Genomic DNA, 15,701 nt, shown 5'->3' with positions numbered 1-15,701 from the left:
TAGACTTCATTCTTTTTATTGTATTTCATATTTTCCTTTGCCATTTTAGCACTAAAAAGAATTCTCTCAACATCCAAGCCCTGTAATAAAATAAATATGCATTAAGTATGCTACTTGAAACTGCAGTGAATGTTTTGATGTTTAACCTTTATCTTTAAACAAATAAGTGGTATCGTGAGTTCTGGTTTGAAAACCACCTAAGCCAGGAAGTATAAAGAATGTATGTGTTTGCTGGTGAGGGGGGAGAGTGCCATTTCCTTTGCATTTGAAATCAACATTAATCCTCAGATTATTATATAATTGCAATTCACAATGCTTCAAATCTTGCTGAAAGTTATGCTGATAGAGTAAACTGGCCAGGAAATATTATCTCCACTGGTAGTGATAAAGGATAAATACTTTGATTTTGTTTAATTCTGTGTCTCCAGCGCTAAAACAGTGCCCGGTATATTGTAAGTGTAGCTTACACATACACAGGTGTGGCACATTGTCAGATTCTGGTGGTATAGTGTCTTAGAGGAAAAGGCTCCTAACTTCCTGATCTACAGGCTTACTTGATGGCCTAATTTCCTTCTGAAAATTGCAGGCAAGACTACTATATTGGAAGTTTAATTTTACATTGGAAATCTCTACATCTGGGAAAAACAACAAAAACAAAAGCCTGCCTTTTGGGGAATTAGACAATGAGGGAATGGCCTTGCCACAGAGAAAGAATGAAAACCTTAACAGGAGATGCTATGAGGAGAAGCCAAAAACAGAGACTATCCCTAAAAAAGACCTTTCCATTGGAATAAGCCTCAGCTATTCTTTTCATATCATTGCAATTAACATTCCTTATGGAACCTCAACCACCACCCAAGCCACACAGACATACACATACACACACACTCTGCAAATGGAATCTTGGGAATACAAAGCAAAAACGTGAGGGCATTCATTTACCTCCCACGTTGCTTATGTGCTGATTGTCATAATTCTAGAGCAATAATATTTGCTTTAAGTACAACACTTGCAGAATCTTTGCACTGGCCTAAATTGAACGGGAGTTATTTCTATGATGCTCCCACCCTTGTGGGCTGATATTGATAACTAGGTGATACAAAGGGCTTTTTGGTCCTCTTAGCACAAATTGAAAGTGACCCCTGTGAAGTTTTGTTGAATCATCAATCATCATTATAAGCATATGCCTTTAGAAGACTATTTTGACAAATCTAAAATAGAAATGGCTTTGTCAAAAGCTAGCACATTGACCCACTCTGTGATCAGTATCTGAGCTGACGGATTGGAAAAGAATGAAATTGAAACTCAATTTCACAACGGGCCTTACTGTTGGAAGAAATGAGAAGCAACCAGGAACATAAGTGGCAGAATGAGGGAGAGGGCCTGCCCAGCACATTTTCACATCTTTTCTAGTACCTATGGAAAGAACAGAAAATATGGTTTAAGAAGTTCTGGTTGTGAAATAAGATCTTGGAGGTCATGTGAAATAGTTTAATGATCTAAAAGCTCAGCTTGAGCCCTATTATATTATGATCACTTTTATTCCAGACAGAACATCCTAATCCTTGGACCCAAGAAATATTGAATAAGGAATTCATTGTGGAAATGGATCCTGTTCTTTAAGTTACTATCCAACCCATTGGATGGCAATAAATTATGTCATGAGATCCCCAGTCAATGGAGCTTCCCCATCTTTAGAAGTTAAGAATTTTTTGCTCTTTGAAAGACATTGTTAAGAGAACACAAAAACAATTAAGCAAAAGACTGGAAAAAATATTTTCGGATTACAGATTTGACCAAGTACTTTTATCCAGAATATATAAAGAACTCTCAAACTCCAGCACAAGAAAACAAACAACACAACTCACAAACGGTAGAAGATTTAAACAGGTGCCTCACCAAAGAGGAGCTACAGGTGGCTAATAAACACATGAAAAGATGTATAACATCATTAGATATTGGAGAAGTGCAAATTCCAGCCATGGGATACCAGTACACACCCACTAGACCGTCTAAAATAATAAACAACTGAACACACCAAGTGTTAGCAAAGATGTGGAGAAACCTAAACGCTCGTCTATTGCTGTAGGAATATAAAATGGTACAACCACTGTGGAAAACAGTTTGGTGCTGGAAAACAGGTTTTAAAAAATTAAACATATGCTAGCATTTCCAGCCATTCTATTCCAATATATTTACCAAAGAGAAACGAAAGCTACCTTTATACAAAGACTTGTATGTGGATGTTGACAGCAGCTTTATTTGGAATAGCCAGGAAGTGGAAACAATCCAAATATTCACCAATATATGTGTGGATAAGTAAATTGTGCTAAATACTCAGAAATGAGATGGAATGAACTATTAATATGTGCAACAACACAGATGAATCTCAAAACAATTATGATTGAGGGAAGGCAGAAAAAGAAGAGTAGTACTCATTATTCCACTTATGTGAAATTCTACAAAATGCAAAACAGATCTATATGTCTATAGGGACAGAAAGCAAATCAGCAAGGGAGGGTGGAGAACTGGAGAGAGTCTGGGAGGAATTACAGATGGCCAAAAGGAAACTTTTAGGAGTGATGAAATCTTAGTCCATTTGTGCTGCTATAAAGGAATGCCTGAGGCTGGGTTATTTATGAAGAAAAGAGGTTTATTTGGCTCATGGTTCTGCAGGCTGTACAGGAAGCACGGCGCCAACATCTACATCTGGTAAGGGCCTCAAGCTTTTTCCACTCGTGGAAGAGGAGCTGGTGAGGGCAGAGATGACATGATGAGAGAGGAGGCAAGGAAGATAGGGTCTTTTATTTTTTCTTTGAGACCAAATCTCACTCTGCTGCCCAGGCTGGAGTGCAGTGGAGCAATCACAGCTCACTGTAGCCTCCAACTCCAACTGGGCTCAAGCAATTCTCCCACCTCAGCCTCCTGAGTAGCTGGGACTAAAGGCGTGAGCCACCATGCCCAGCTAGTTTTTTAAAACATTTTTGTAGAGATTGGGTCTTGCTCTGTAACCCAGCCTGCAATGCAGTGGTATGATCATAACTCACTGCAGCTTCAAACTCTGGGACCGGAGTGATCCTCTGCCAGAGTCTTTTTAGCAGCCAGCTCTTGTGGAAACTAATAGAGTAAGAACTCACTCATTAGCCATTCATGGGGAATCCAACCCCATGACCCAAACACCTCCCATTAGGCCCCACCTCCAACACTGGGGTTCAGATTTCAACATGAGGTTTGTGAAGACAAACATTCAAACTATAGCAGATGTATATAGTCATTATCTTGATTGTAGTGATGGCTTTATGGATTATACATCTGTAAAAATTTACTAAGTTGTATGCTTTAAATATGTGAAGTTTATTTTATGTCAATTATACCTCAATGAAACAATAAAAATAGACAAATAAATAAGCCAGTGATCACAAAAGAAGATATAGAAATGACTAGTAAGTACATGAAAAGGCACTCAACATTATTAGTCATTGGGGAAATGCAAATCAAAACCACTACACACCAATTCAAATGGCTAAAATAAAAAATACTCGTCATTTAGCAAAACTGTTTGGTGGCTTCTTATAAAGTTAAACACACATTTGCCATATGACCCACCAACCTCACTCCTAGGTATCTCCCCAAGAGAAATGAAAACATTTGCTTACACAAAAGCTTGCACACAAATGTTCATAGAAGCATTATTCAGAATAGCCAAGAAGTAGTATGTTCCAAATATCTATCAACTAGTGAATGGATAAACAAAATGCGATACATCCATACCATGGAATACTACACAGTAATAAAAGGAAAGGAACTGCTACGACATGGATGAACATTAAAAACATTACACTAAGTGAAAGAAGCCTACATAACCTGTAATTCTGTTTATAGGAAGTGTCCAGAAAAGACAGATTTATAGACAGAAAGTAGATTAGTAGTTGCCTTGGGCTGGGATGGGAATAGCAATTGATTGCAAATGAGCGCAATGGTCTTCTGGGGGCAATAGGAATGTTCTAAAACTAAATTGTGATGATGGTTACTAAAATTATTTACTAAAAACAATTGAAGTGCACTCTTAACACAGGTGAAATTTATAGTGTGCAAATTATATACTAATAAAACTGTTTAAAAAAAAGGTGATATATCTAGCCTGGGCAACAAAGTAAGACCTCATCTTTAATAAAACTATAAAAATTTAGCCAGGCGTAGTGATGTGCTCCTAGTCGCAGCTACTTGGGAGGCTGAGATGGGAGGATGGCTTGAGCCCAGGAGGTTGAGGCTGCAGGGAGCCATGATTGGGCCACTGCACTCCAGCCCGGGCAACTAAGTAAGACCCTGTCTCAAAAACAAAATTGTTATCACCAGTAGCTGGAATGTAAGGCCCCAAGAACACCTGGTGGGATAACACAGTTATACATAGATATGTGTCCATGTGATGTAACACAAAGAAATGATTGTACAATTGAGATCATGTACATGAGATCACATTTTTGTACATACGAGAATGTGTAGATCTAAATAATGCAAGCTTATGATATAACCATACATATAAGTTAACAGATACACCTGAAAAATTGTAATTGTGCATTTGAGACGACATATACACAATGAGATGACATTTATTTTGTTCTGTTTTGAGACAGGGTCTTGCTCTGTTGTGTGCAGGATGGAGTGCAGTGGTGCTATCACAGCTCACTGTAACCTCAAACTCTTGGGGTCAAGTGATATTCCCACCTCAGCCTCCCAAGCAGCTAGGACTATAGGAGCATGCCACCACACTTAGCTAATATTTTTAATTTTCATAGAGATGGAGTCTTGTTATGTTCCCTAGGCTAGTCTTGAACTCCTGGCCTCAAGGGTTCCTCCCATCTTGGCCTACCAAAGCACTGGGATTACAGGCATGAGCCACTGCACCTGAACATGAGCTGACATTTGTAATGGCCTGGCATGGAGATGTAGTATAATTTTAGTAGAAGAAAGATCAATAATACATTTTCATCTATTAAGCATTAATTTATTTCCTCCCTTCTGACCATAGAGTCCTGGCTTATGACATGAGTAACCTATTTTCTGCTGTGAACCATCTTGTCTTATTACTCACTTTGACCTCAATAAAAAAAACGTAATCGTTAAGCCTTCTGTGGCTCTCAGACTCATAAACTCGTAGTCCAAGGCCTTGTTTATGCAGCACTGCATTTATTCTGGGACATTTCAGGTGAAGCCAAGAAGATTTCTTTCTGAAACAAGATACTTTCAATAAAACTGCAAAGAAGAAAACCACCACCTCTTAAAGAAGTACATTGGGTAAAGATATAGAAATTTTAAATGTGTATATTCTTTACTTTCTGCAAGAGGCCAAGGCCAGGGCTGGAGCTGAGTTAGTAAAAATCCGCAAGGAAGAACAGATGAGCAATTTTCAACAATTCATTTGGACTTTGACTGCTTTTTTTTCAAGGTTAAGTAAAACTGATCCTTAGAGAACCTTCCTGACATAATATAGAATAAACCAGCTACATAAACCTGTAAAAGTAATACAAGTCTTTTACAACACTCATTCTCCCTCCCTCCCTCCTTTCTTTCCTACCTTCCTTCCTCCTCCTCCTCCTCTCTCTCCCTGTCTCTCTCTCTCTCTCACACACACACACACACACACTCTCTCTCTCTCTCTCCCTCTCTTCCCTCTCACCCACCCTCAATACAGTAAATCTGTGAAAGAATCCTCCTGGGTGATATTTCCTCATCTGTAAAATGAAGACTTGCATGATCTCTAAGGCCCATGAGAGAGCATCTGCTTCAAAATGCTATGAGATATACTGCTCGGTTGATCACTGTGGTTCTAGCAAAGCCAAAACTAGGCTATATTTTAAGACTCAGACTAAAAACTTGCATGGTATTGTGCTATGCAATGTCAGAACGTTGAATAATTTTTAAAAATCTAGTAAAGCAATCTGTTTGTAAGGTCTGGGCGACACCAGGGTGCTGATGTCTTAGTCCATTTTCTGTTGCATATAGCAGAATACCTGAAACTGGGTAATTTATAAATAAAAGGAATTTATTTCTTATAGTCCTAGAAGCTGAGGAAGTCCAGGGTTGAGGGACTGCATCTGGTGAGGGCCTCCTTGCTGATGGGGACTCTCTGCAGAGTGCCTGGATGGTGCAGGGCATCACGTGGGGAGGGGGCTGAACGTGCTAGCTCAGATCTTTCTTCCTCTCCTTCATAAATTACGGCCACCAGTCTCACTCCCATGTCAATCCATTAATCCATTAATCCATGAATGGGTTAATCCATCCATGAGGACAGAGCCCTCATGATCTAATCACCTCTTAAAGACCCCACTTCTCAACACTGGTGCATCGGAGATTGCATTTCAACATGAGTTTTGGAGGGGACAAATGCTCAAACCATAGCGACTGGTTTAACTGACTTTTAAACATTGATCAAAATTCCATTCATATCAATGAACATCAACCCTGCCCGGACATTAGAATCACCCAGGGATTTAACCAGTCTGAGGTTGGGGCAATGAGGTGTTTTGCTGTCTTTGGTGCTATGATTGTTGACTAGTTCAGGCTATGCGGTCAGGCTTCAGAACTCCTAATTTATACTGTACCAGTATCAAGATGTAAACAGGCTGAAGTCCAAGCTTCACATACTTGAATATTTGGATTTAGCTGGTTCGGGGTAGGTCCAGCCTAAATCTGAGACAACATCAGGGAATTAGAAATTTTTCTTCCCTGAACCCCCAGGTCTGCCAACCCCTGGGTGGGGTCACTATGTGAATTTTTTTTAAATGGCCACTTTTTGCAAAGCAAATATATTTTCAATATGTTTAATTACACAAGCAGTACTTACTCTTCATAGTAATTTGAATAATTAAGTGCTAAATAGATTTTAAAATAATAGTCCCTTCCCCGTTTCTACTCTAACACAACTTCCTGGAGGCCTGAGATAAGTCACCTTAACAGTCAGGAGTATATATATCCTTCCATTCTGTGTATTAAAATACATGCACAAACATATACAAATATATAAACTCATATATCATGGTTTTGTAATTTTCTCTTTGTGATCTACGGAAAACAGATATTTCTGTATTAATTTTTTTCTGCAGTGTTCTTTATTCACTCAATCTGTATCATGAGACTTCGGGAAAACCTGGTGGATTAAATACCCTCCTGCAACCTCACTGAAAGTGGCAGAAAAGGGATTAAAATGGATATGAGCTGCAAGGATAAAGAGAACTGCAAAGGAGAAGAGAACAATAACACCTTAGAACAATAAAATCTCAGAACTGGAAAGCAAATGGACGAGCTGAAATTGTCTTAGGAGATGAGAGAAATAAAAACTGGACATTGAAGAGAGGCCCCAGTCCACTTCCACTGCTTTTTTTTTTTTTTTTTGAGACGGAGTCTCACTCTGTCACCCAGGCTGGAGTGCAGTGGCGCGATCTCGGCTCACTGCAGCCTTCACCCTCCAGGTTCAAGCGATTCTCCTACCTCAGCCTCCCAAGTAGCTGGGATTACAGGCACCTGTCACCATGCCCGACTAATTTTTGTGTTTTTAGTAGAGACAGGGTTTCACCATCTTGGCCAGGCTGGTCTCGAACTCCTCACCTCGTGATCCACCCACCTCGGCCTCCCAAAGCGCTGGGATTACAGACTTAGGCCACCGTGCCCAGCCTTTTTTTTTTTTCCTTAAGACAAGGTCTTGCTCTGTCACCCAGGAGTGCAGTGGTGCAATCTCGGTTCACTGCCACCTCCGCCTCCTGGATTCAAGCGATTCTCATGCCTCAGCCTCCCTAGTAGCTGGGATTACAGGCATGCGCCACTATACCTGGCTAATTTTTGTATTTTTAGTAGAGATGGGGTTTCGCTATGTTGGCCAGGCTGGTCTCGAACTCCTGACCTCAAGTAATCCACCCGCCTCAGCCTCCCAAAGTGCTGGGATTACAGACATGAGCCACTGTGCCCGGCCCACTGCTTTCTAATACAAAATCTCAGATGGAGGCACTGGGGACCCAGACACTTCTCACAGTGGGTGTGGAGGTCAGGCTGAACACTGGAAGACCAGCTGAGACACTGCAGGAGAAGCGCTTGGATCCTCAAATGCCATTCCCCAGTTTGAACTGAATGTCTGTGCTCCCTCCCCAGTAGAAGACTAGAGGAGTAGTTCTCAAAGGTGAGCCAGTAGCCCAATGCCTGGAAGGCTTGTCCAGGGGCAGATGGCTGAGCCCCACCTTTCAGAGCTTCCGAGGCAGCAGATCCAAGGCAGGCCCCAAGAGCTTGCATTTCTAGCAAATTTCTAGGCACTGTTGATGCTAGTGCTGATTACACTAGATATTTACACTCCGATTCCAGGCACAGGCACACAAGGCACAGTTAAGTGTGCTTCTTTTTCTGGTTTTGTGTTTTTGAAATTTATTTTAGAGACAGGGTCTTGCTCTGTTTCCCAGGCTGGAGTGCAGAGGCACAATCATAGCTACCTGCAGCCTCTGACTCCTGGCCTCAAGTTATCCTTCCAGCTCAGCCTCCCAAGTAGCTGGGACTATAGGCACGCACCACCATGCCTGGCTAATTTTTAAAATTTTTGTAGAATGAGGTATTGCTATATTGCCCAGGATGTTCTCAAACTCCTGGCCTCAAGTGATCCTCCCGTATCGGCCTCCCAAAGTGTTGGTATTACGGGCATGAGCCATCGTGCCTGAACAAGTGTGCAACTTCTATACAGAGAGCACGAATAGCATGAGCATCTACTTACCTATTTTTTTTTTCTTTTTCTAGAGATGGAGTCTCACTATATTGCCTGTACTGGTCTCAAACTCTTGGCCTCAAGCAATCCTCCCGCCTCAGCCTCCCTAACTGCTGGGATTACAGGCATGAGCCCCTGCACCCAACCCCAGCATTTCCATACCTATGTACTGATTAAAGAGACCCTCAGCCACTTCCCCCAGTAGGGTCATAGAACCTTAGACACCTACCCATAAGGTGGGAGATTGAAAGATTCTCTTCCAAGGAATCTGATAAGCCTAAAGAAAAAAAGCATGTCCTGTGTATTGGTAGTTGAGGTCCCTCCCAGTGAAGGGGGCCAGTACCCCAGCTGAGCTTCTTCCCCCTGGACAATGGAACCATCTGGGAAGCTTTTAAATATATGAATGTCAGGGATCCAGCCAATTCAACCACATGCTCCAGGGGCAGGGCCCTGGCATTTGTGTTGGTTTTAAAGCCTCCTTGGTGATAAAAGCATGCTGCCAGGGCGGGCTTGGAACCACTCCTTTGTGGGAAAGATCACCAGCCAATAAGTCACAGCCACATAGACCGGAGGACTTCTGAGTGCTTCATTCCCAAGCATGAGTCTATAGTCAAATATCACCTCATATTGAGGAAGCTCTACTGTGAAAGTCAGAGACCAAAATAAACAGAAGAAAGGAAGAGCTTAAAGGAAACAATGCAAGGAGCAGAAGAAACCTTCAAGTGAGATCTTCAGAGATTTTCTTTAAAAAAAGGATAGTACATCTATGAAGCAAGAACAGGCAATTACAAAAGGACATTCAGAGAACAAGAAAACAAGTTAAACATTTTGTAACAAATAAAATCTTCAATGGAAGTTTTGGAAGCTAAGTTGTGGAACTCTCCCTTATTTATTTATTTATTTATTTATTTATTTATTTATTTATTTATTATTTTTTTGTTTTAAATAGAGACAGGGTTTCGCCGTGTTGCCCAGGCTGGTCTCAAACTCCTGGGCTTAAGCGATCCTCCCACCTCAGCCTCCCACAGTGTTAGGATTACAGGCATGAGCCACCGTGCCCAGCCAGAGGTCTCCTTTCAAGCAGAACAGACAAAGGGAGAGAGATGGAAATTGGAGAGCAGGTAAGAAAATTAAAACATCACTTGGGGGATCCAATACCTGAATAACAGCTATTCTAGACAGAGAACAATGAAAATGGAGGGGGTGGTTATTAAAGTAATAATTCTTAAGAATTATTCCCCAAGTCATTTGGTAGTGACTTAGGGCTGGTGATGGGGAGATTGAGAAATTATTGCAAATGGGTAGAAGGTTTGTTCTGGTGATGATGGAGATACTTTTATGATGGTTGCACAACTCTGTAAATATACTGAAAACCATTGAATTGTACACTTTACATGGGTGAATTTTATAGTATATAGGTTATATCTCAATAAAGCTATTTTATAAATGTCCCCAGAGATAAAGGGCATAGGGACTTAGATTGAGGGGGGCCACCAAAGGCCCCATGCAAAATAGACCTTCAGTAAGGCACGTAATAATGTAATTTCAGGATACTAGAGGCAAAGAGAAGTCCCCAAAGCAAAACTTCCAAGACAGTAAAAATTCACATAGGAAGGATCAGGGATTAGAATGGCATCAAGTGTCTCAGCAGCAGCACTGAACTCTACAGGGCAGGGGAGTGATGCCTTCAGAATTCTAACAAAAATCTAAAACTAGAACCACCATAGAATCCAGTAATCCCACTACTGGGTATTTATCCAAAGGAAAAGAAATCAGTATATCGGAGGGATACCTGCATTTAAATGTTGATTGCAGCACTGTTCACAACAGCAAAGATATGGAACCAACCTAAGTGTCCATCAACGGATGAAAGGATAAAGAAAATATGGTATACCTGTCTCCACACACAAAAAAATTAAAAATTATCCAGGTGTGGTGGTGCATACCTCTAGTCTCAACTACACTAGGGAGGCTGAGGCAGGAGGATCTCTTGAGCCCAGGAGCTGGAGGCTGCAGTGAGCTATAATCATGCCACTGCACTCCAGCCTGAGCAACAGAGTAAGACCCTGTCTCTAACAAATAAAAAATAAGAAAGGAATTCAGGCTTTAGATCAAACAAACCTGTGTTCACTACTAATCTTATAATTTGAGCTGATGATCTAAAAACAGATTTAATTTCCTTTTCCATAAGATGGCACTAATCATATCTTTTCATAGGGTCGTTATATTAGATGACATACTACTTATTTGTTAAGTGATGATTGTGGGACTTGGTACACAGCAGCACTCACTATTATTATTAGTGTCACGATAAAAATGAAGACGTCTAATAAAGTGATGAAGATGATACATTTGGTGATTCATAAATATCAGACTTGTACATGCTCAAAGTTCAGTTTTCCCTTTATCATACCAATACTGTGTCCACACACAAAAACCCTATTTCTTATTTTTCTTTCATCCATGCTGAGATGGATTTTTCATTCTACTCACGTTCTTTTGGGAAAAGGCCTAATAGCTTATATCTCTATCTGTAGCTATTTCTGAAATGCAGCTTCAAGGTTTGAAAGACTTCTCTCTTATCAGCTTCTCATTGTTAAACATCATACTTATGGCATCTGGAAAAAATTCAAGTTTGGTTTATAGATGTGACTTGTCTACACCAGGCATATATATTCATTCAGAGAGGGGCAGAGAGGTAGCGTGGATTCAGAAGAGGATTCTAGGCATTCATAGCAATTCATGCTTTTAGAGTTTGTCCTTGTCTAAGTTGCAATACTGAAAGTGTCCCCAGCAAAATAACTGGTTAATGTTGTGGAAGCAATTTAGGTACAAATGTGTGTGATCAAAAGTTAGCAAAAATGCCAGGTGCGGTGGCTCATGCCTGTAATCCCAGCACTTTGGGAGGCCGAGGCGGGCAGATCGCTTGAACCCAGGAGTTCGAGGCCAGCCTGGCCAACATGGCGAAACCTCATCTCTACTAAAAACACAAAAATTAGCCAGTCGCGGTGGCGCAGGCTTGTAGTCCCAGCTACTCAGGAGGCTGAGGCAAGAAGAATTGCTTGAACCTGGGAGGTGGAGGTTGCAGTGAGTCGAGATTGCGCCACTGCACTCCAGCCTGGGCAACAGAGTGAGACTCTGTCTCCAAAAAAAAAAAAAAAAAAAAAAAGAGGTAGCAAAAAACACCCCAAGTAAAAGTGAGTGGGCTAGGTGCGGTGGCTCATGCCTGTAATCCCAGCACTTCAGGAGGCTGAGGTGGCCAGATCACCTGAGGTCAGGAGTTCAAGACCAGCTTGGCCAACATGGTGAAACCCCGTCTCTACTAAAAATAAAATAATTAGCCAGGTGTGGTAGCAGACACCTGTAATTCCAGCTACTTGGGAGGCAGAGGCTTGAGAATCGCTTGAACTTGGGAGGTAGAGGTTGCAGTGAGCCGAGATCACACCACTGCACTCCAGTCTGGGTGACAGAGTGAGACTCTGACTCAAAAAACAAAAAATCCTAGCATTTTGGGAGGCTGAGACAAGAGGATTGCTTGAGGCCAGGAGTTCAAGACCAGCCTAGGCAACATAGCAAGACGCCTTTTCTACAAAAAAAAAAAAAATTTAAATCTTAGCCAGGCATGGTGGCACATGCCTGTAGTCCAAGCAACTTGGGGGACTGAGGTGGGAGGATTGCTTCAAGCCAGAAGGTCGAGGCTGCAGTAAGCTATGATTGCACCCTGCACTCCAGCCTGGGTGATAGAGCAAGACTCTGTCTCTTAAAAAGCAATACAAAATAAAAATAAAATTTAAAAAATGGGGCTGCAACAATCCTCAGATATCAGATCATGCAAAGCCTTAATGAAGAACTATGTGACAGCAGCTGGGCTTGATTCTGAGGGCACTGGGAAGCCAGGAAAGGGTTTTAGGTAGGACAGTGGTCATGTGATGAGATTTGCTGCGGTTTCCCCACTCTGGCTGCAATAAGGAGGGGCCCAGGGTGGAGGGAGGTGATGAGGGGTTGCCTGCTGCTTGGGGAGTGGCCATCCTCAGTCCCTGTCTGGAAACTGTCCTCACCCAAAGTCACACTGCCTCCCCAGGACAGCCACCTCCCATGACTGGCTCATGGGACAGTCTGAAGATTCAGGCCCCATCATCTCAGGACAGATAGCCCTGAGGGGACTGCACTGCTCCGGAGCTTCTGCAGAATGTGCTGAAGCATTTGTTGCAACTGCCTTGTAGTTTAATTCCTTCAACCTTCATTCTCCCACTGATGATGGACTCTACGCCTCCCCAGTCAACATCCTGCATGCACATCTCAGACTGAGAGCCTATTTCTGCAGAAATGGACTTAAGACAGTTGGCATCAGGAGCTGTCCAAGGAAGCTGACTCAAAAGTAGGCTATGGGGCCGGATGCAGTGGCTCACACCTAAATCCCAGCACTTTGCGGGGCTGAGACGGGAGGATCGCTTGAGCCCAGTTGTTCTAGGCTGCTGTGAGCTATGAACACACCACTGCACTCCAGCCTGGACAACAGAGTGAGACCCTGTCTCAAAAAAAAAAAAAAGCCGGATATTTGGATCCCAGCCCCCCAGGTGAGGCTGCGCCAGTGGCAAATGGGGTGCTGGTAACACCTGGTTGGCTGTAGTGATGCAAGGGTGAAACTCACACAGGTGGTGAAGGGAAAGGGGCATTCTGGCTTGGGCAATCTCTCTGGCTTTTGAGAGGTTAAGGGAATGAAGTAATATTATAATGAAATGAGTGATCCCAATGAAATGAGATGCTTTTTAATGAGCACCCACCGATGCCTTGGAGGAAGATCATAAGGGTCGAAGTGTGAAATGCAGAGGGCCTTCTCATAGCATAGAAAGAGACTCTTATCTCCTGCAGCCAGAAAACAGGAAAAGTCAAGCCCAGGTCTTCACTGTTCGATTAGCCCCAGTCCTCCAGAGTGGACTGTATTCTCAGTTCCAGCAAGTCTGCTGAGTCAGCTCAGAGCCTGAAAGGGAAGGGATGGGACCCTGAGGATTGAGATGGGGTCACCTGGGTTGATGCACTTGAGAATCTTGAAGCCCCAGACCCCTCTAAACCCCCTGACCCTGCAGCAGGAGCCCACCCCTTCCTCGTTAGAGGCTGCTGGAAGACTGTAGAGAAGCGTCAGCTTTTCAGGGTGATGTGCACACCAGTGAGGAGGGGCCTGATCTCCCCTCCTGGCACCAGACAAATGTCAAGGATCAAGCCATCACAGCGCCATCTGAAGAGGACTGGACCTGCTAAGGAACCAGAGGGATTGTACCCATGGGGTGAATAGTATGCATGGGATTGGATTCTTGGGGTGCTGGACCAAGGGGAAGGATTGGATGTGGAAGAGTTTGTTGGTATGAAAACACTGTCCCGTGTATGTATACTGCATCGGACACCCTGCAAAGACCCCTGGAAAGTGTGCTAACGTGCTGCTAGGATAAATCTTGAATATTGGAGAAAGTAGAGGCTCACATTAAAGGAAGCAGAAATGTCAGAACTACTGTGGCAGATGATGAACAAAGATTCAAAGGCTCAGAAGTGACAGTCCCCAGTGAACTACTTGCATGCAGAAATCCAGCCTAAGACAGTAAAATTTAGGATATCTAAGAAGGTGTGTTTATTTTAATAGGATGGGGTTAATTTGCTCCATTCTTTTTTTTTTTTTTTTTTTTTTTTTTTGAGACAGAGTCTTGCTCTGTCACCCAGGCTGGAGTGCAGTGGTGCAATCTCGGCTCACTGCAACCTCCACCTCCCGGGTTCAAGTGATTCTCCTGCCTCAGCCTCCCGAGTAGCTGTGATTACAGATGTGCATCACCAGGCCCAGCTAATTTTTGTATTTTTGGTAGAGACGGGGTTTCACCATGTTGGCCAGGGTGGTCTCGAACTCCTGACCTCAGGTGATCCACCCCTCGGCCTCCCAAAGTGCTGGGATTACAGGCATGAGCCACCACACCTGGCCAATTTGCTGTGTTCTTTTGGAAACTTCTGTTGTTATTGTTGGCGTTGTTGTTTTAGGGACATGGTCGCACTCTGTCACCCAGGCAGGAGTGCAGTAGTGCGAGGATAGCTCACCGCAGCCTCAACCTCCAGGGCTCAAGCAATCCTCCCACCTCAGTCTTCTGAGTAGCTGAGACTACAGGCATGCACCACCATGCCTGGCTAATTTTTAAGTATTTTGTAAAGGCAAGATCTCACTATGTTGCCCAGGCTGATCTTGAACCCCTGACCTCAGGTGATCCCTCCACCTTGGCCACCAAAGGTGCTCAGATTACAGGTGTGAGCCATTGCAGCTGGCTGAAAGTTTTTAATTTATAAGAAACTTTCTATCTCAATTCACTAGAGGAAAAATACCCCCACCTCCTTTTTTGGCTCACGATCATTTTGAATATGAATTTGGTGAAGGAAATATTTTTTCCTAAGAGCTTTTACTAAGCAGATTGTTCAGTTTTTCTTTTTCAGAGAAAGCTCTCTGCCATATCTTTCTTGAGAACAAATTTGCTTAATTCTTACCTCCCTGGCTGGTGAAAAGATTCACCTTGGATAGCATTACTGCTTGGTTTTCATGATTCAGTTTTCCTGGCTGGGCCATGTAATTTCTCTCCTTGTAATTTTCCTTGATATGCTGTGTGATTCACATACTAGGCTTATTTTTAGTCTTTTCCTTGTGTTTAGGCTTCTGGGGAACATTAGTGTTTTACTAATGGTGTTTTGGACCACGCCAGATCATAATACCAATACAACAATACAATAATAATCAACACTGAACGAAAGCTTCATCTGCATCTGGCACTGGTCTAAAAGCTTCCATTCTCATCTCATTATACTCTCACAACAGCCTTGTTTGTGGAATCCCAATCCTATAGATGAGAAAGCTGAAAGATTAAGTAACTTGTCATGGACATATGATAGATAAATGGGAAGCTTTGGGCAGGCACGGTGGCTCACGCCTGTAATC

Source organism: Homo sapiens, chromosome 7, assembly GCF_000001405.40.
Source record: "Homo sapiens chromosome 7, GRCh38.p14 Primary Assembly".
NCBI classification, from domain to species: domain Eukaryota; kingdom Metazoa; phylum Chordata; class Mammalia; order Primates; family Hominidae; genus Homo; species Homo sapiens.
This window is presented reverse-complemented; position numbering follows the sequence as displayed.